Source organism: Homo sapiens, chromosome 14 (genome assembly GCF_000001405.40).
Source record: "Homo sapiens chromosome 14, GRCh38.p14 Primary Assembly".
NCBI lineage: Eukaryota > Metazoa > Chordata > Mammalia > Primates > Hominidae > Homo > Homo sapiens.
This window is the reverse complement of record NC_000014.9, coordinates 29,091,014-29,111,331: the sequence shown is the minus strand read 5'-3', so window position 1 is coordinate 29,111,331 and position 20,318 is coordinate 29,091,014. Positions and strand designations below refer to the sequence as shown.

The 20,318-nt window shown below is 35.9% G+C and overlaps 1 long non-coding RNA gene across 7 annotated transcripts in view; it reads right to left on the bottom strand.

Annotated features, from left to right (window-relative positions):
- Window positions 1-20,318, bottom strand: part of LOC107984685 (uncharacterized) — a 216,619-nt gene that overhangs the window by 76,576 nt on the left and 119,725 nt on the right. For 6 of the 7 annotated variants that reach the window (XR_007064101.1, XR_001750697.1, XR_001750694.2 and 3 more), the window contains one exon: window positions 14,081-14,171. This is a non-coding gene — a long non-coding RNA (uncharacterized LOC107984685). Of the gene's footprint in view, window positions 1-6,901; window positions 7,314-14,080; window positions 14,172-20,318 lie in introns of those variants that run through there. The other variant, XR_007064100.1, reaches the window with a different exon arrangement.

The window sequence follows — 20,318 nt, the reverse complement described above, 5'->3', positions numbered from 1 at the left end:
ACAAACCACCCAATTAAAATATAACCAAAAGATTTGAACAGACATATGAAAAATATCCACATTATGAGCCATTGAGAAAATGCTTATTAAGACTATGATGAGATATCATTATATGACCACTGGAATAGAAAGAAAAAAAAAGGAAGAGTGAGAGAAAAAAATGACAATATCAAATGTTGAAGGGACAAGGAGCAACCAGAACTCTATTTTTTTCCTGATAGGAATATAAAATAATATAAACCTTTTGTAAAAATTTGGCAGTTTCACAAATGCCTCCCCTTTAATCTGACATTTCCACTCTTGGATATCATTCTAATTGAATTCAAAGTATATACCCACAAACAGAGTTGTACAAGAATGTTTATCAAAGCTTTATTCATGATAGCCCAAAACTGAAAGCAGCCCAAATGTCCATCAAATGGAGAAAGAATAGAACTGAAGCATATTCATACATCATAATACTACTCAGCAACCAAAACTGAACACACTCCCAATAGGTAAAACAACATGAATACATCCAAAATATATTATGCTGAGTAAAGAAAATATTTCATAAGAGTACATACTGGCCGGGCGTGGTGGCTCACGCCTGTAATCCCAGCACTTTGAGAGGCCAAGGCAGGTGGATCACCTGAGGTCAGGAGTTCGAGACCAGCCTGGCCAACATGGTGAAACCCTGTTTCTACTAAAAATACAAAAATTAGCTAGGTGTAGTGGTGGGTGCCTGTAATCCCAGCTACTTGGGAGGCTGAGGCAGGAGAATGGCTGGCGTTAACCCGGGAGGCCGAGGCTGCAGTCAGCCGAGATCGCGCCACTGCACTCCAGCCTGGGTGACAAGAGCAAAACTCCGTCTCAAAAAAAAAAGTACATGCTATAATTCCACTTATAGGAAGTTCTACAAAATGCTAAAATAATCCATTATGGAAAAAAATCAGAAGAGTATTTAAATTTGAGAGGATTAATTGAAAAAGAACAAAAGGGAAATTTCTAAGATGATAATATTGTATATAATGATAGGGTTTGGGTTCACAGGTGTAAGCATCAGTTAAAACTCACAGAATGGTAATTTTTTTGCATTTCAATGTGTATAATGTTATTTTTTAAAAAGTAGTTACTAAACTCCAGTTAATACCATGCATGCTGAGGTTTTAAGGATGCAAGTTATTTTGAACTGCATTAAAAAAGAGGCATAGAAATGGATATAGGTATGAATACATGGCTAAATACACGATATGGCAAATACAGCAAAATTTAGCTGTAGAATCTAGTTGGTGAGTATATGGTGTTCACTGTACTATTCTTTCAACTTTTCTGTATGTTTGAAATATCCATAATGAAGCATTGTGGGGGACATGGATAATAGGAGTAATAGGAACAAAAGTGTAAGAAACTCAGGGAATGAATATAGTATAAGATAAACTAGAAAATAAGAAATGTATAAAATATAAAACTACAAAAGTAAAAACAGAGGTGGCATTACAAATCAGTGGCAAAAGAATAGATCAGCCAATAAATGGTGCCAGAACAACTGGCTATCCATACAGAAAAATGCTGACTCAAAAATAAAATCTAAATGGATTAAAAATCTAGATGCATTACTTTTAGAAAAAAAAAATGAATTCTTATTTTCATTCCTGATATTGGCAAGAGTTTTCTAAAATAGCTACAGGATATAAACACATGCACACAAAATCCAATCCTGCATTAAAATTAAAATAACTTTTTTTACGACAAAGACCATTATAATAAAAATGAAAAGACCTGTTATAAACTGAAAATTATGTTTTTTGCCCATATAACTTGCAATCTGTTAATATTCCACATAAAATAAAATTCCTACAAATTTAAAAGGACAACCCAATTGAAAAAGGGACATCAGGAAATTCACAGAAGCACAATAGAAAATGACAAATAATCACATAAAAATGTGTTAAGCCTCACTAGTATTTGTGAAATGATCAATTAGATGACAGTAGGAAACCATTCACAATAGCCTGTCACACAAACTGTTGAGAAGATGTGGGGAAAACAGAACCTCTATACATCCTGATGGAAAGGCAAATCAACATAATTAAAAACATACATACCCTAGATCTGACAACCACCAATACCTATGTCTTTCTTACTTTTCTTCCTTTCTTTTCTTCCGATCTCTCTCTCTTTCTTTTCTTTCTTTCCTTTCTTTCTCTTTGTTTCTTTCTTCCTTTCTTCCCTTCCTTTCCTTTCCTTCTTTCTCTTTCTCTGTTTCTTTTTCTTTCCTTCCTTCTTTCTCCCTTTTCTCTTTTTTCTTTCTTCTCTCTCCTTCCTCCCTCCCTCCTTCCCTCTCTTTCTTTCTTTCCCTTTCTCTTTCTCTTTCTTTCCTTCTTTCTCTTTCTTTCCTTCTTTCTCTTTCTTTCTCTTTGTTTCCTTCTTTCTCTTTCTTTCTCTGTTTCCTTCTTTCTCTTTCTTTCTCTCTTTCTCTCTCTCTCTCTCCTCCCTCCCTCCTTTCCTACTTCCCTCCCTCCCTCTTTTTTCTTTCTTTTTCTTTCTCTCTCTTTCTTCTTTTTTTCTTTCTTTCTCTCTTTCTTCTTTTTTTTTTTTTTTGACAGAGTCTCATTGTGTCGCCCAAGCAGTAGTCTCAACCTCCCAGCCTCAACACCCACCTTAGTCTCCTGAGTAGCTTGGACTACAGGCATGTGGTCTTTCTTGAGAAACTCTCGCATATGTGTAACTAAAGACAAATCCATGGTGTTCATTGCAAGACTGTTTTTAACGTGACAGAATAGAAACAAATTTATTGTCTCAGATTTATGCATACAGGGAAATAGAGGAATCTAGAAGTTAAAATGAGTAACTTTATCTACATGTTGCAACATCTATACACCTCAAAATGCAACGTAAAAAAATAATAAAATTACAAAATATAAAATTTAGAAACACACCACTTATGAATAATATTAAACACAAAACTAGAATATATGGTTTATAGATACATACATATACAGAAAATATTTTAAAAATGTTTTGGAATCATATCAGTTTTATGACAACATTTGTCTCTTGGAAGAGAGGGAAGGTAGTGGATTGGAAGAAATTAGTCTATAACTTTATTTGTGTCCCTTTATTTCCTTTTTTAAGAAAACAATAAGAGATCAAGTGCAATGAATCATGCCTGTTTTCCCAGCACTTTGGGAGGCTGAGGCAGGAGTAAACATGGCAAAATATTAACATTCATATCTGGCATATGACTTTTAGTAGTTTTCTTATTGTTTGAAATATTAGAGAAGGAAATTTTAAAAATTTTTAAAGGAAAGACATTTCTTTCATAATTTATCTGGCTATTATACAAGGGAAATAATACAGAGTCTTGAATAGCAAAAATATATGCTTGATTTTAATTATTTATATCTTAAAATGAGCAATTTATTTATTTTTTGAGAAATTCTACAATGTCTTCATCAGAATTATTTGTCTTTTGCACAATATTGCTAGAAGATGCTGGAAAATGATAAGTAAAAAGCAGCAGTACTCAAATTTCAAGCAATAGCAAAAGTTGACAGCTTGGAAAGATTTAGCAAAAGGCAAAGCTCCTACTGAAAAAGCAATACTCTTTCATTCTCTTACAGTCCACCTAGAGATAGAGAAAACTAGTATGTTTGTTCTATACATTTCTTATCCAATGTTGGTTTTCATTTTTGCCTTTGTATCAAAAAATGTCCAATTAGATGGCCCACAAGTAATACTCAAGGCTTCTGATTTCAGTTTTCATCAAAAATGGTAAACTTTAAGTTCTCTAGCCATCCAATTATGTTGTAATTAGTTTGTAAATACTAGTTTTTTAAATAAATTTTAAAAATTGCTAGCCAATGTTGTTTCAGTTTTGGAATTCTTTGTATGTAGATTCCATGATGTAACCATAGAATTAAAATCTTCTTGGAAAACTGAAGGCATTTCCATATTCTCACGGCCTTTTTGAGTATCGGATGCTGTGCTTTAATTATACATCTTTTCTTACAATCATGCATAACATTTTGTAACTGAGGATATTAAGTAATTGCCCAGGGTACATATCTAGTATGCAGAACATTATCCTTTCAAATCTAGCAAGTGGCACAGCATGTAACTGTGGTCATTGAATATTCAGTGTGTTTGTTGAATGAAAAGAGGAGTGCAGGATTGATGGGTAGATGGGTAGAGGGATGGTTGAATACCTATCTTCAAATCATGGACCTTTTTACTGGACCACATTGTTTTTCTCATATATAATTGCTCATTAATGAGTATGGTATGCTGATGATGTGTTAACTTTCTAAAAGCCTAATTAAATTATGAGGAGTGCATTTTTAATCAGATTTTAAACTGTATGAGAATCTTAGTGGGTGAACAGGCACCTCTATATACCTCAGACTGAAAAGCCTCCTATCAACTTATTGCTCAATTAATTTCATATAAAATAAAACATAAGATGCCCTCTTATTTCCAACTAAGGCATTTAACTGTTAGCATAAACGTCTTATTTTATTCCATAGATATTTTGCTTTTGATAGTATATTCCAAAAATCACATACGGTCATGGTTGCTTAATAAAATTTTAAGTTGATATGTTGAAAATTAAATACACAGCTGGAGATGTATTATCTCCAACTCTATTAGTCCATTCTTGCATTGCTATAAAAAATTACCTGAGACTGGATAATGTATAAAGAAGAGGTTTAATTTACCCACAGTTCCACAGACTGTACAGGAAGCCTGGCTGGGGAGGCCTCAGGAAACTGACAATCATGGTAGAAGGCAAAGGGGAAACAGGTACCTCTTAAATGTCCAGACAAGGAGGAAGAGAGTGAAGAGGGACGTACTACACACTGTTAAACAACCAGATCTCATGAGAACTCACTCAGGATTATGAGAACAGTAAGGGGGAAATCCACCTTCATGATCCATTCACCTACCACCAGGGCCCTCCTCCAACATTGGGGATTATAATTCAACAACATGAGATTTGGGTGGGGACACAGACCCAAACCATATCACCAACATATGCCATTCTACACAATGTATTTGTTCCTTCATTTATTGAACAAATACATTTTAAATATCAAGACATTCTAAAGATGTATTATCTAGAATATGGTAGCAATCCAAAAGTTACCATTTTTGTACCCACACAACTTAAAGGTTAGTGAGAGAAACAAACAAACAAAAAAGCAACTAATGATTACAAATGATGCTTAGTTCTATGAAGAAAATAAGCATTGTGTAATAAAAGGCAAGACACTAAGAGAACGCTTACTCAGACAAGGTGGTCAGGGAAGGCTTTTCTGAGGAGCTGCCATTGAGACTGAGATGGAAGAATAGTGGACCCACTCACCTGGGTAGCAATAAAACACTGGATTATCATTCATAGGGTGGATGGCTAATAACCTGAGAGAGAGTTTCACGGACTTATTGGTGGAGACTTTAAAGGCTGTTCTCAATCCAAAATCTGAAATACATCTGCCCAAATGCCATATTCATAAAATAAAATGGAGAGATGAAGCGATCTAGCCGGTGTCTTATAAGAACATATACTGGAGAAGAATAAAAATCCTTGTAAGTATAATGCAACATCCTTGTAAATTTAATCATGAATTGAGCAACTGCAATTAGAGAGATTCAAAATATTTGGACAACTAATGTAAGAACCAAATATGATATAGCAAGTTCTCTGCAGGAAGTATGTGAAGCACATGAGGAGGAGCCAGAGACCCTGAAACTGGAATAATAAGGGGAGAAGGGATCTGAAGGAGATCAAGAAGAGCCATGTCCATAGTTTTATCTGGCTAATTGAGGGGAAACTTAACTTGAATTCTAGAATATTGTTTAGTTTGCATTAATCTGTAGGAAATATATTTTAATTTACTTCTCTGCAATGTTAAGTCATTTTGCTGACTTATGGAGTCCTAAATTGAACCTATCAGGTTTGATATAGTAAAATAGTTGAACATCTCCAGGTAAAATGACAATGCCTGTTCTAATAATCCCTCTTTCACGTTTTCTTGGAAATAATCTATAGGATGAAATTTTAATAACGTAAAAATGTGTACCATCATTGGAAACTAGTAGAGTGTGACCCACATGCTAGAAATTCTGATGGATTTCTTCTAGTACTGCAAGACTAACTCAAAAGGAAGAGATGAGAAATCTACAGATTTATCTCCTAAGAAAGCAGTGTTTCACTAAAGATGACACTCAGGCTTAAGACTTAAAGGAATCTCTACTAGGAGATGTGACGCCTGAGGGCAAGAGCAACCATTGATAGAATGAGCAGTGCCCAAAATTATGCCTTTCACAACTGCAGAAAAAAATACTCAAAGCTTCCACCCAAGAAGATGTTGGAGTTCTCACATGGGTGTCAATGGGAGAAAGCCTGCAGTGTGGTAAGACATCTGCTTAACACAGCAAGATTTTTTGGTGGACATCAGTGCGAAGAAGCAGGCCAGGCACAGCCATGCTTTGTTACGAGTATGTAGTTCAAGACAATTAGGAGGGTATACATGTATTTTAACTGATAATAGTCTATCAAAATACATTCCATATAGAAACATTTAACACTTCTGATCCCTTTATAATTGCTGAAATCTATTTTGTGATATCCATGCCATCCCACTTTTCTGGCATGGTGTCACCCAAATCGGTCTTCTTTGATCACCCTTAAATTGCAGCCTGTCCCTCCCATCTTGGTGTCCCCTTCTAGAATATCAACCTTCTTGTTCCCCAGATTATTCTGGGTGATTAATATCAACGTGGTTTCAACATGCAGGTATCTCAATGGCTCTCCCGAGCCACAGTGTGTGTGTGCACACACACAAGCACACACACCTTTTAATATCAATAAATCTGAATAGGAAATTATTCAGCCTCCATGGTATTTCCACTCTCCTGCTTCTTGAAATGAATTCTTCATTCAGAATTACTTTAATTCTCTAAAATTCTATGTGCTCTGGCTTCTGGGCCTTTGAACATATTTTTCTCACTACTTAACCCAGAACTTCTACCATCCTCTGTTGTAAAACACTTACTAATTCCTGAGGACTTAGCTTAGATATCACCTCCCTATGAAACCTCTTCTACCCCTTGACCACTCACCACTCAAGCAGATGTTGTGTATGACTTCCATTGACAAGCATGCCAGCTCTCATTATGCATTGTTCACAATGTATTGTCCTTGCTTCAAGCACTTTCTTTCCCCTTTGAGAGTGAGTTTCATCAACACAGTGATGCTGTCTGGCTTGTTTATAGTTGTTCCATCAGTGCCCAGCCAATTTGTTATGTTGAAGGTGCTCAATATATATTTTCTGGGCAAATGAATGGATGAATAAAAATAAAGAAATATAACAGAAACAAAATCACAATGAAACCCTCAGGAAAAACTGGTTAAAACTGTTTGCCTCTAGGGAAGACTGAGATAGAAAGACAGAACAGATGACTTGCTTATCATTAAATAGCCATCAGTACTATTTTTTAAAACTATCTTCATTTGGTATTTTATTTTTTATATCATAAGGATATCAGGCGGAAATCGCAGTTGCATATATGCACACTACTGTGGTACTCAGATTAGAGGGACTCAATAAAAAGATTCCCCTACAAAATGACACTTTATAAAGGTGCATTCCTAGGCATGCTGCCACACATTATGCTTCCTCAAACATTCACAAGGTCCGTGAGAATAAAGAGTTAAAAATGACCTTAGAGCAGCAGGTTTGCAATCACGAGGGAAATCATAGAATAGCAATTTAACAACCCTCTAAGAGCAGAGCTCAAAGCAAACAATGGATTAGGGCTGTATAATGCTATTATTCAATTGTTTTGCTAGAACTAAAATGTGACAAAGATGGGAAGCTGGAGAAACAAGAACAGAAAAAAGAAAGTTTAATAATGAGTTGAACACTGCAGTTTAAGATAGTATAGAAAAAAAAACAATAACCCCAAAAATTTATTTTCTCTTTTTACTTAAGAACAGGTCACGTCAGATAAACAAAGGCTTAAATCAATGCCCATATGACTGACTCACAGGAGGACTGAACATAAATTACAGTCTCTCATCTCCAGCTTTTAGTGACACCTCCATATGGTTTATCCTTTAGTGAGACCATGGAGTTCTGTTAATGAGCTTGAAAGAGTTGGCTGGTTAGCTGGCAAGAGTTACCTGCCATTAGCTATTTAGAGTTTTGTAAATCAAATGGCAGTTTCTGAGAGACCCCTCCCTCTTCACCCCAAAATGTGAGTCATTCTCTCATTAGTGGCCTGCTTTCTGCAATTTGTAATTACAGATTGTGTCTCTGTTAATCGCTTGACAAATGATACTTCTCTGCCAACAGGTTTACTGAACTTAGTTTATCTTGAAATCGTGTCAAATGAATCTGATGTAAAAGTTTGATTTTGATTGCCTACTTTGGTCTTCCAGATATATAACCTAAATTTTAACTTTTATTTTCTTCTCCAAAAGGAATCAAAATGTAACTTGCATTTCACAAATAATTTCACTCCAGGAACATAGTCTTCAACGTATGCATGGATAATATATTAGAATACACTAGTATATGTCCGTGTTTTCTGGCTAAGAGGACATCTGAAAAGATTCTGTACATAAATTGCTTTAATGTGCTTTCAGTTTCATAATTTACATCCTTCTCAAACCTTGTGCCCTTCCCCCTACACCCGAGAGTTGGGGGTATGGGGAATAGCGGAGTAAAGAATATAGTGTGCTACAAAATATGTCTTTTAGTAAGCCTGGCAGCACCCTCAATTTTTCCAGGCAGGCCTTCATTTCAAACAAAAGACCGGAAATTATGGCTGTCTGAAAATCTAAGAACAAGAGCAATAGAACGTATGCTCCAGTTTTATAAATACGGAAAGCACTATACAGTACATAAGCAACTGCACTCACAAAGCTCTAGCCTCTTCCTTATGCTGGGGTCTATGTAACATCGTATGATTCCAACACCTAATTTGCCTCACTACCCCACCCATATATGGTAGTTACTTGGATGCTGAAACAGTGCGTTTAAATTAAGCACATGCTCTAACTTTGCAAAGAAAGTATCATGGTTCTAGTATGTATCCTAGCAAATAAATAGACACACACTTAAAATCTTTCGTCTTAGTCTAGGTTGTCAGCTTTGAAATCTTTTTCTCCCTCGGCTTTTGGTTCCATTTGTATTGTTTATCTCAGAGCATTCTAATACTTAGGACCCGGGTCCTTCCAATGACAAAATCCCATAGGGCATTATTATTCTGGAGAAGAAAATAAATGTCTATGCTTTTCGTTCCCTTTCACTACAGAGCATTCTTCCTGAAATTCGCATTGAACAGAAACACCGCTAATATTAAAATAATAGAAGGTCCAGCCACTTGCACCTAAAAATGTACAACGACATCCTTTTTTACATAAATAATGACATGCAGTTTGGAGCCATCTTCACTTAATGTGGTCCCAAATGAAACACAAACTTGTAAGGTATAGGGGAGAAAGTTGGTAACATTTAAAGACTAAAACTTCAGTTTCTTAAAATAATCTGATATCTGACAGTTATTGAATCATAATATAGGAAGAATTTCCCTAGTTTTAGTGTGCAGTGTTAGAAAATAGATAGCTGATTGCTCGACAAAGTACAAGGTGGGAGGAAATAAAAAAAGAATGAGTGACTCTTCTGAAAAGCAGAATTAATCTAGAGTGCATGTTAAAAACACATGCATTAATAAATTAACACTTTTATTTTTTTCCCTTGGTCATACAGATTTTCCATACTCACATGTGAAATGACCAGCAATGACAGGTATGACAAACACCCAGGTCTAGAATTCTTAAATATTTTCATAAGTTGAATATAATAACCTGTAGCATCTGATCAAAACATTATATTTCCCAAAGTTGGACCATTTATTAAAATACTTCTTAGCCATCAGGCCCCACCAAATCCTATTATTTGAAAACCAAATTGAACAAGTGTTTTGAAATAGGTGTGATATAGTTCACCTCTAAGATTTCTAATTATTTTTCTAATTGTCTTCCTTTTGATGGTCAGTGTAGGCTTTTGGATTTTTACTAGACTAAATTAATCACACCACTCTACAGACTGTTGCTGGATTGGTGGGTATCAAATTTACCCCATTCTTTGTCTTCATTTGCTTATATTCAGGCCTCCAAAAAATTTGTATTTACCACTAATAAAGGAACATATCAGGAAGAAAGGATGATTTACAGAACAAATCATCAAATACATTTTTTCTCTATTGCCTGAAGTTACACAAATAAGTGATAACATTTCATCTGGATTTCCAGCTGGAATAATTAAGGAAAAAGTAGAAAACAGTCTCTGATATCTTTTTTGACTCAGGTCTCTGTTTAGTTATTATCTTTTCAGAGAGATATTTCCTAACCATATTTTCTAAAAGAGAGTCCCCCTTTCCCTAGTTATTCTTTATCCTCATAATGTTTTATTTAATTTCTAGCTGTTAACCCCACCTGACATTATCATTTGTTTATCATTTGCCTCTTCATCTAGAACTTAAGCTCCATGAGGGCAATATGATGAACCAAAAGGGGAACGATACCTTTTTTTGGTTCATCACTGAGTCATTAGGACCTAGAATAACACCTGACACACTGTAGAGGTTCAACGTCTATTTGTTGAATGATTGGATGTCTACTGTCCATTTAGATATGTAAAATCAGTGCATATCATTTTGTATAGTCATATATACTTTTACAAAGTGTTTGTCCTGAAACCCACTATTCCTAGCTGCTTAAATACCTAGGTCTGCTATTTGGATAGGTGAACACTTGGATGGTTGAATAAAGGAACAATTTAATGCACCATTGTCTTCTATGAACCGCATAGGATAAAAAAATTCAGGTTTTGTTATCAAGAATAACCTCCTGAGTAACTGATTTGCTTTTGTTTCATCATTTAACTAACGAATTGATAAAGTTTATCTCTTAAATTGGATTATGAATAATAAAATGTGTATAGGGCATTACAATATGCCTTTTTAATTAGCCTAATTAAGAGTTTGTTTGTGACCTCAGCTGTTTATTTCGTATCACTTTCTCCTATTTTTGTCTCCTTGCTACATTAGGCATTCAGGTAGTCAGAGTCATGGTCAAGAATACTGCCTCTGGAACCAACTAACCTCTGGCTGAGGCCAACCCAAATTTTGCTCTTCCCTAGCTGGCTGACCATGGGCAAGTTAGCCCAAATCTCTGCACCTCTATTTCCTCACTTTCAAAATAGGGATAACATTAATACCTACATCGCAAACTTGCTCATCCTCAGTGCCGTTATGAGCACCAAATGAGTTAAAACATGCGAAGCACTTGGAACAGTGCCTGGCACATGTTAAAGGCTTGGTAATGTTAGCTATTATTTTATCAAACACTTTAATTCTTCTCTGGAACAAAGTAAGACAAAATAAATGTTTTATATGCTAAACATCTCCTATGAGCCAGGCACTTTGTGGAGTGCTGAGGTGAAGATTAATAAACACATAAAGATATTTTGCATCTGGTATAGGACACAGAGGGAGACATTAATATAAACTGAGATGTCACAGAAAGGGTGACCTCGGTACTGAAGAATGAAGGGAAGATTTGGGAAAAGTAACAGCAACATGCGTACAGATTGGGAGGGGCGTCAATCATGTCTGAACAGTCGGAATATGCCTGGAGAATAGGGAGGAAGGGTGGTGGAAAGAGGTCTGAGATGTGGCTAAAATGGTAAGCCTTCACCAGATCTCAAACCAATTGCTGAGTTTCAGTTCCTGCATATTCAGACATTATTCCCCTCTTTCTGGATTGAGAAGAATCTTCCAGCATTTACTTCCTTTAGTGAAATCCAGTGACCAGCCCCTTTAGAAAGGTAGCTCCTGTGACTTAGTCTGACTTGTTCCCAGTGTATTCGAGAAGTCTTTCCCTAATAGACTCCTGTGCAGCAACTGCAAGAGGAGGTGCCATTTCAACAAGAGGTTAGAGCCCTGACTCTTGGCTTCTTGAGTGTTGCTTTTATTTCACCCTCCTGTTTCTAATGCTACTCTCCAATCGACTGCCTCCAGAAACAAATCCAGGTGTTTCTTAAACTCTTTGAATCGTCTTCTGTAGTAATTTATTCCATATGTTTATTGCTCTGTGTGTGAAATAATTTCATCAAGTTTCTTTTTTTTTATTTGTCGCTGCATTCCAATCAGCCAGCAGTAGAATCCTATCTATGAGTAACACTTTTAAAAACACCAACTCTTGTGCTCAGGGAAGCCAAGGGATGTTGTAGCACATGAGCAGAACAAGGAGAAAAGAACAACAAGCAATTGGGATTGATGACATTCGTTTAAGAGGAAAAAAAGGATTTCAGGAATACCTAGCAGGGGTTGGAGGAGAAGCTTTGCTCAAGTTCTTACTATATTTTGCATTTCCCCAGGGTGTCAATTTTATGAAACAAAGTGACGGGATGATTTCTATCACTTGAGAAGCTGTGTTAAAAAAATCTGATGCACTGGCAACAGCAAAAATTGTTATGGTAGGAATCAAATTGGTGCTTCCTTGCTGGAAATGAACGAAGCACTAGTGCCTGTCAGTTTATTTCTGAGCTCTGCTTTTCAAACTTTAATTTGAGAGGGTGGGAGGAGGTTTAATGGAAATCTGAATCGCTGTTAGAAGAGGACTATATTTTAAACTTTGATTTCATCGTTGTCTCTATGTTCAGAAGAAAATTATTCTTTATACTTAGAAGTGAAAGCACTGTCAGTTCTAAATCTATTAATGAGGGGGTGAAAGAGAGGGGAAAGAAAGGGAGTGCAGTATGTACAAAATGAATAGCTTCTGTAATTAGTAAATAAGACTGTTATTTCCAAATCAATGCACTTGCCTATGTTATACTACAGCGTGAAGGATCTTAAATGATTTACCTTTTAAAATTATCAAAATTTTGTTTTTTAATCAGCTTCTGCTAATAACATCTTCTCACCATGGAGCTGAAGTTTACTAACAAACATTTCACTCTTATCCTTTTGTTCAGGAAACTCTTGCAAAAATAATTGTCATTGTCATTTTTATTTACTGCTCTTCTCTCCAGGGAAAGAAGATATGCCACGGAGATGATGGGAACCAATGGGTTCATTGTGCTCACGGAAAACTAAACGAATGCTTGGATGTTAGTTTACTGTTTGAAAATTCATAAAATGTATATGCTGAGAGTTGATGGTTGGAAATTATAACCATCATGACAGCAATTATGATGGATTTGTTAAGCATTATTTAGGAACCAGGCACTTTGCTCAGCACTGCACATAAATTATCTCATTAGACTGTTTCAATAGCTCTAGGATGTCATTCTAATTATTACCCCCATTTTACAGATAGGAAAATTAAGTCACAGTTAAAATAGCTAATAAATGGCAAAACTGGAATTGAAACCCAAGTCCATCTGCTTCTAGAGCTGACACTTGTAGCTATTTTAAGTTGTGCTGAAAGGTATATTCCAATAATATTATTTTAGAGATACTTTTTATTATATAAATAATTGAATCTGGCTCATAACTTTCTTAAAATGTTTCTTTGAGGCTGAAATTTTCTAAACTTGGTGTCCATCCAACTGTGTGGTGGCAGGAGGCAAAGAAAATACAGCAAGTTCTGGTAGAGGCAGGAACAGATTTTAGGATTCTGTTTAGATTTTGAGACAGGCTGGAGCCTGAACCGGAATCCAAAGCCTGTTGAAACAGAGTTGCCTCTTCACAACAGCATGGAGTAAGAATTTCCATGGAAACTTAACTCAAGCACAAAACTTGACCTGAAACTAAATAAATAAATAGAAACAATTTCTGCTTATTGTTTGGTCAAAATTGATGTTTAGATTATAGACTCAATTATGTCAATTTTCTCCATCCTGTGAGCAGTGGGCTAAATCTCTGATCCTACAGTATGAATGAGCATTTACCCTCTCTTATGTATCCACAATGGGCCCTGTGGATTTTTTTTTTCCTTATAGATTATGGGAAGAGAAAAGGCGAGAGAGTTGTTTTCCTCTTGGTTTTTGTCTTTTTTCTTTCTTTCCTCCTTCACTTGTCATACCTTGTTCTGAGCTGTGTGTTAGTCTCAAAGCCGTTGGTGCACTTGCGCCCACAGCCTGGCCTGAGTTAAGGCAGAGCACTTAGTCTTCCTCCTGGGATAAAACAGACAACAAAATCTCAAGCCCTCATACATGGCTTCCTTTTATTTCCTCTCTACGTTTTCCCTGTATTTCTTTTCATATCAAAACACAGGGTGACTCTCAAGACTTACTTTGAATTCACCTGGATCATGATCTAACCACAGTAGTGTCTACCATTTTGTGAATGACTCTCTTGCATGTTAGTGTTCCTCCTTGTGCATGATTCTGCTATTGCACTCACCAATCTATACTGTGGTCTTTTGTTTCCAAGTCAGCCTCAACCACCCAACTTTGGTATTTTTGCGACATGACTCTACCAGTGTTGTACTTCAAATATGTAAGAGAAAGTAGTTGTTCATTAAATGTTTGTTGTGCCAGGGGAAACAATCAATCAAAACATTCTCTTTTTAAACATTCTAACATTTTCTTAAGCATATCTCATCAAAAAATAATATAATCCATCTCATCACACTCTCAAATAAGAAATCTATAATTAAATTGTTATAATTATGCACACATATACACTTGCATCACTGATTAGAGATGAAAAATGCAATCTATGATTTTGAATGTATTTGAACAGTGTTCATTTTTTACTGAATATTTATTGATTATCTACTATGTATCAGTTTCTAAACATAGGGACTGGCAAACAAAGTTAAAGATCCTCACCCTCAGGGAGCTTATATTTTGGCAAGGAAGATAGAAAGTAAAAATGAAAATAAGAAATAACTAAATTCCATTGTATACAAGGTGGAAAATGCTACAAAAATATAGTAAATAATAATAATAATAATAATAATTAAGAGACCTAGAAGAGGGAATGATGTTTGTGGGAGGGAGGAAATGGGTAGGTTGAGTATTAAATAGAAGGGTCAAAATAAGCCTGAATAAGTAAAGATTTGAAGGTGGAGATGTCAAACAAGTGCATATCTAGAAAAAGAACATTCCAAGCAAAGGGAATGATGTAGATGGAAGAAGGACTGGTATGCTCCTGAAACAGTAAGGGCTCAATACTGATGGATGATCCAGATGAGTAAAGGGAGAGTAGTTAGATGGTAGGGCAGAGAGGTGAGGGGAACAAGATCATTTAGAGCCTGTTGGACAATTCAAAGACTCTGGTGGTTTTCAACCTTAGTTAAATTAAGAGCCACTGGAAGGTTTGAATGATATGAGGTAATTTACTTTTTAAAAATATAACTCTGCACTGGGGAAAGAAAACTCTATTCAATAAATGGTGCTGGGGTAATTGAATAGCCATATGCAGAAGAAAGGAACTGTACCTCTGTCTCTTACTGTATACAAAAATGAATTCAAGATGGATTAAAGACTTAAATAGAAGACCTGAAATTAAAAAAAAAATCCTAGAAGAAAACCTAGGAAAGGTTCTTCTGGACTTGGTGTAGGCAAATAATTTATGACTAAGTTCTAAGAAAAAAAAAACACACCAAAACAAAAATAGATAAATGGGACTTAATTAAACTAAAAAGCTTCTGCACAGCAAAAAAAAAAAAAAAAAAAAAAAAAGTAATAATAATCAATAGAGTAAACAACCTACAGAATGGAAGAAAATATTTGGAAACAATGCATCCAACAAAGGGCTAATATCCAGAATCTACAAAGAATCAAACAAATCAACAAGAAAAAAATAAATAACCTCATTAAAATGTGGTTATAAAAATAATCTCATTAAAAAGTGGTTAAAAGGAGATGAACTGACATTTTTCAAAAGAAGAAATACATGCAGCCAACAAAGATATGAAAAAATGTTCAACATTACCAATCATCAGATAAATGCAAATTAAAAAGACAAGGAATTATCATCTCACATCAGTAAGAATGGGTATTATTAAAAAGTCTAAAAACAGCAGATAGGTCGGGCGTGGTGGCTCATGCCTGTAATCCCAGCACATTGGGAGGCCAAGGCAGGCGTATCACAAGGTCAAGAGATTGAGACCATCCTGGCCAACATGGTGATACCCCGTCTCTACTAAAAATACAAAAATTAGCTGGGCATGGTGGTGTGTGCCTACAGTTCCAGCTACTCAGGAGGCTGAGGCAGGAGATCGCTTGAACCTAGGAGGCAAAGGTTGCAGTGAGCCGAGATCGCATCACTGCCCTCCAGCCTTGCGACAGAGCAAGACTCTGTCTCAAAAAAAAAAAAAAAAAAAAAAAAAAGAAGTAGATATCGGTGAGGATGCAGACAAAAGGGAACACTTATACACTGTTGTTGGGATTGGGACTGTAAATTAGTAAAACCTGTATAAAAAAACAGAATGGAGATTCTTCAAAAATCTTAAAATAGGACTACTATTTTACCTAGCAATCCCACTGCTAGGTATATACCAAAAGGAAAAAAAACTCAATATATGAAAAAGACACCTGCACTCATGTTTATCACAGCACTATTCACAAGAGCAAAGTCATGGAATCAACCTAAATTTCCATCAACAGATGACTGAATTTTTAAAAGTCACACACACACACACACACACACACACACACACACCATGGAATACTACTCAGCTATAAAAAAGAATGAAATTGTGTCTTTTGCGATAACATGGATGGAAATTGAGGCCATTATCCTTAAAGAAATGACTCAGAAACAGAAAATCAAAACCTCCATATTCTTATTCATAAATGGGAGCTAAACAGTAGGTACAACTGGACAAACAGAGTGGAATAATAGACATTAGAGACTCCAAATTGTGGGAGGGTGGGAGGGAGGTGAGGGATGAAATACCACCTATTGGGTACAATGTATACTATTTGGATGATAGGTACACTAAAAACCCAGATTTTACCACTATGCCATATACCCATGTAACAACACATCTGCACTTGTACTCTTAAAATCTATAAAAGTTAAAAATTTAAAAAATCAACTATCAATACCAAAAGGCCAACCATGAAAGCTTAGGTCTGAGGTTATAAAAGTTAAAAATTAAAAAAAAAAAAATCAACTATCAATACCAAGAAAGACTACAAAAGGCCAACCATGAAAGCTTAGGTCTAAGGTTAAAAAGAAGTGGTCATCACAGACTATATAGAAAGAAATTGTACTCTAAATTTTAAGTACTCTAAAATTTTATGTATGGAATAAACTTGAAGGATTATCTACTACAACTCCATGATTTTGTGATTTTAAATAATTAAAAATTTTAAAAAGATTATGTGTTGAGAACAGACGTAAGATATATGCAAGGACAACAATTAGGAAAGAAAAAACGGTGACTTGAGAGTGAGGGTGGTGCCAGCTGAGGTGATGAAAACGATAGGATCCTGGATGTAGCTCGGAAGTTTCATTCTTAGATCAATGGGCCTTATACAATATAAGCATCTTTATAACCTATCATAGCAGCAAGGATTATGAGCTTTGATTTAAAGCTCCTGGTTATGTGGCTACATAATTAACATGGAAGATGTTTCTTTAACAACCAGAATTGTATAGAAACATAAAACCACAATCTCAGCCTTAGGGTCTGAGGACAAAAAAAAAATACATACATGCACAATATATAAATTAATACACATACATGTTTATATGTACATTTATATGTACATACATATACATACATGTTTATATGTACATTTATATGTACATACATATACATATATACATGCATATGCATATAGTCACATATCTATATAAAGAAATACAAATAACTGAGAAAATACTCTACACATAGAAATTGCTTTATTATTCTTCGGGTTTTGTGAATGCCTCTTTTTTAAGTGGAAGTGAAGCAAAAGCACTGGCTTCCTAAGAACTGACAGGGTGACTTTTCATGTCTATCTATTTTCATGACTATCATATTTTCATGACTACCTTAAATAAGCACAAAGCTTATTTCAGGGGGTACAAGAAGATAGGGTAGTTTTGATAGGAAATAGGTAAATAAAGCTCCGAAGAGAGCCAGGCAGGCAGGCACAGGACTATATCTGGAAGTGTTTAGCCCAGCTGAGGCCTGGGATGGGAGGTATGACTGAAGATGAACTTTACCTACCTGCCAACGTAGTGTGGCGTCATCAATGGAGGCACATTAGCTGCAACAGACTATGCAAGTATGATTTGCTTCAAAAAATTCCTTGGCTAGAGAAACCTGTGTTAACCTCCATGCATGGAAGCTGTACTCTGTAACCAGGCAGAAATTGAGTGTTGACAAATTTGTGGTAGTTTGACTATTAAAATCCCTAGTCGTGGATAATAACGCAGAGCTCCTTGGAGGGCAAAATGAAAAGCTATCAGAATAATATTTGCTTTCATCTGCTCAGATACAATGCCCAGAGCACCCGCTTGTTTGTGTTTTCTTCCTGGGGTGCATTCTGAATCCCATAAATTTCAGTTCCAGCAAGAGCACAGTACAGCAGAGCCGAGGTAGAGAAAAAAGCCCAAATTTCTCTTGTCTGATTTAAAAACTGTACCCCACAGCGAGCTTCTCTGTTTGTTAAAAACTCTAATTGGTGTTTTCTCAACTTGCTGCTTGGCTGGTTTCTTTTTATTGATTTCATTTGGGGTTTGTAAGGCTGCATTTGGAGCCCTTTCCAGAGTTTGTTTGGAAGCTATTTTTTAATTTTAATGAAAACGCATTTTTAAAAATGTATATTACACCACCCTGCCGATTTTGCTCAAATAAACCTGCTACTGTTTTCAGTGATTTCCAACCACTTTAGTACCCTTAGTCTCACTCGCTAAAGGGACCCCTGTGCTATTCCTGGCAAAGTAACAAGATTAAGGAGAAAAATGAACGTTCTTCGCTGCTTTTGAAGCCTCTTATACAACAAAGGAAAAAGATTCATTCAGGAGACTGCCTTGGGGAATAATAAATTAGGATCCAGAAAGGATCCCCGCCCCCCCACCAACCCACAACCAACTTCAATTCTAAACTGTTTCCCAAACAGAATTATTTCATTATTCTGAAGAACCCAGATCCAAAGCAATGAGCCAAGAAAGAAATTTAAGTCAGTAATGAATATTAGGTTTACACTTAAAATGTTATATACCTATGGTTCCATAAATTTGGCAACTGGAAATGTTCAAAATAACATGTCCTGTATTTATGTTTTATTAAGCCTATTCCCCCATTAGTGGCCATCCAGATCACTTATAATTTATTGCTATTACAAAATAAAATGCTGTGATAAGCATCACTGTCCATTGGTCCCTACATACATATGATTTTGTTTTTGAGAAAAGATTTCTCATTTTTCTATAACAGGTAACTAGTGAGATTGCTATGTTCAGTATATTCATATTTTTAAGTCATAATGAAAAATTATTGTTTTAAAAAGGGTTTCAGTGGTTTGTTATCTCCCCAACCTGAAGGTTTTTATCTCTAGAGATCTTGCCAATTTGATGGACAGCTTCATCCCCCTGTATACCAGAGAAGTTGAGCCAAGGACTTGGCTTCAATTTGCATATAACATAGTGCATGCCTAGTGCTAATTCACTACTATATTACTGTAATTGGAAATCTTACTCTAGGCTCAACTTTATTTGTTGAGAATTTTATCAGTTAAGACAGAATTTAAAGCCATTCTAGTAATCCCCTAGTAGTGGACTGATGCTCCCAGGCTTAAAATTACAAAAGCAATTAGGAAGAAGTATCTTATTAATAAGAAACATTTTGTTTGTTTAAACACACACACACACACACACACACACACACACACACAACTTTCTCTTGGGACCATCTAGAACGCTCTAACCCAGTAGTCCCCAAACTTTTTGACACCCGGGACCAGTTTCATGGAAGACAATATTTCCACAGCTGGTGTGGGGGTGGGGGAAGGGATGCTTTTGGAATGAAACTGTTCCACCTCTAGATCTAACTAATCTAATCCAGTTAGATTCTCATAAGGAGAGCACAACCTAGATCCCTCTCATGAGCAGTTCACAGTGGGGTTCGTGCTCATATGAGAATCTAATGCTGCCTCTAATCTGAAAGGAGGCAGAGCTCAGGTGGTAATGCTGCTGCAGCTCACCTCCTGCTGTGGGCCCAGTTCCAAACGGTCCATGGAGCGATACTGGTCTGCTTCCTGGGTGTTGGGGACCCCTGCTCTAATCTCTACTAAAAATCTTAATAGAAGTCTATGATGACAACAGACGTAATGCATTGAGACTATTAAGAAGGAAGAAGTCTTATATTATTAGCT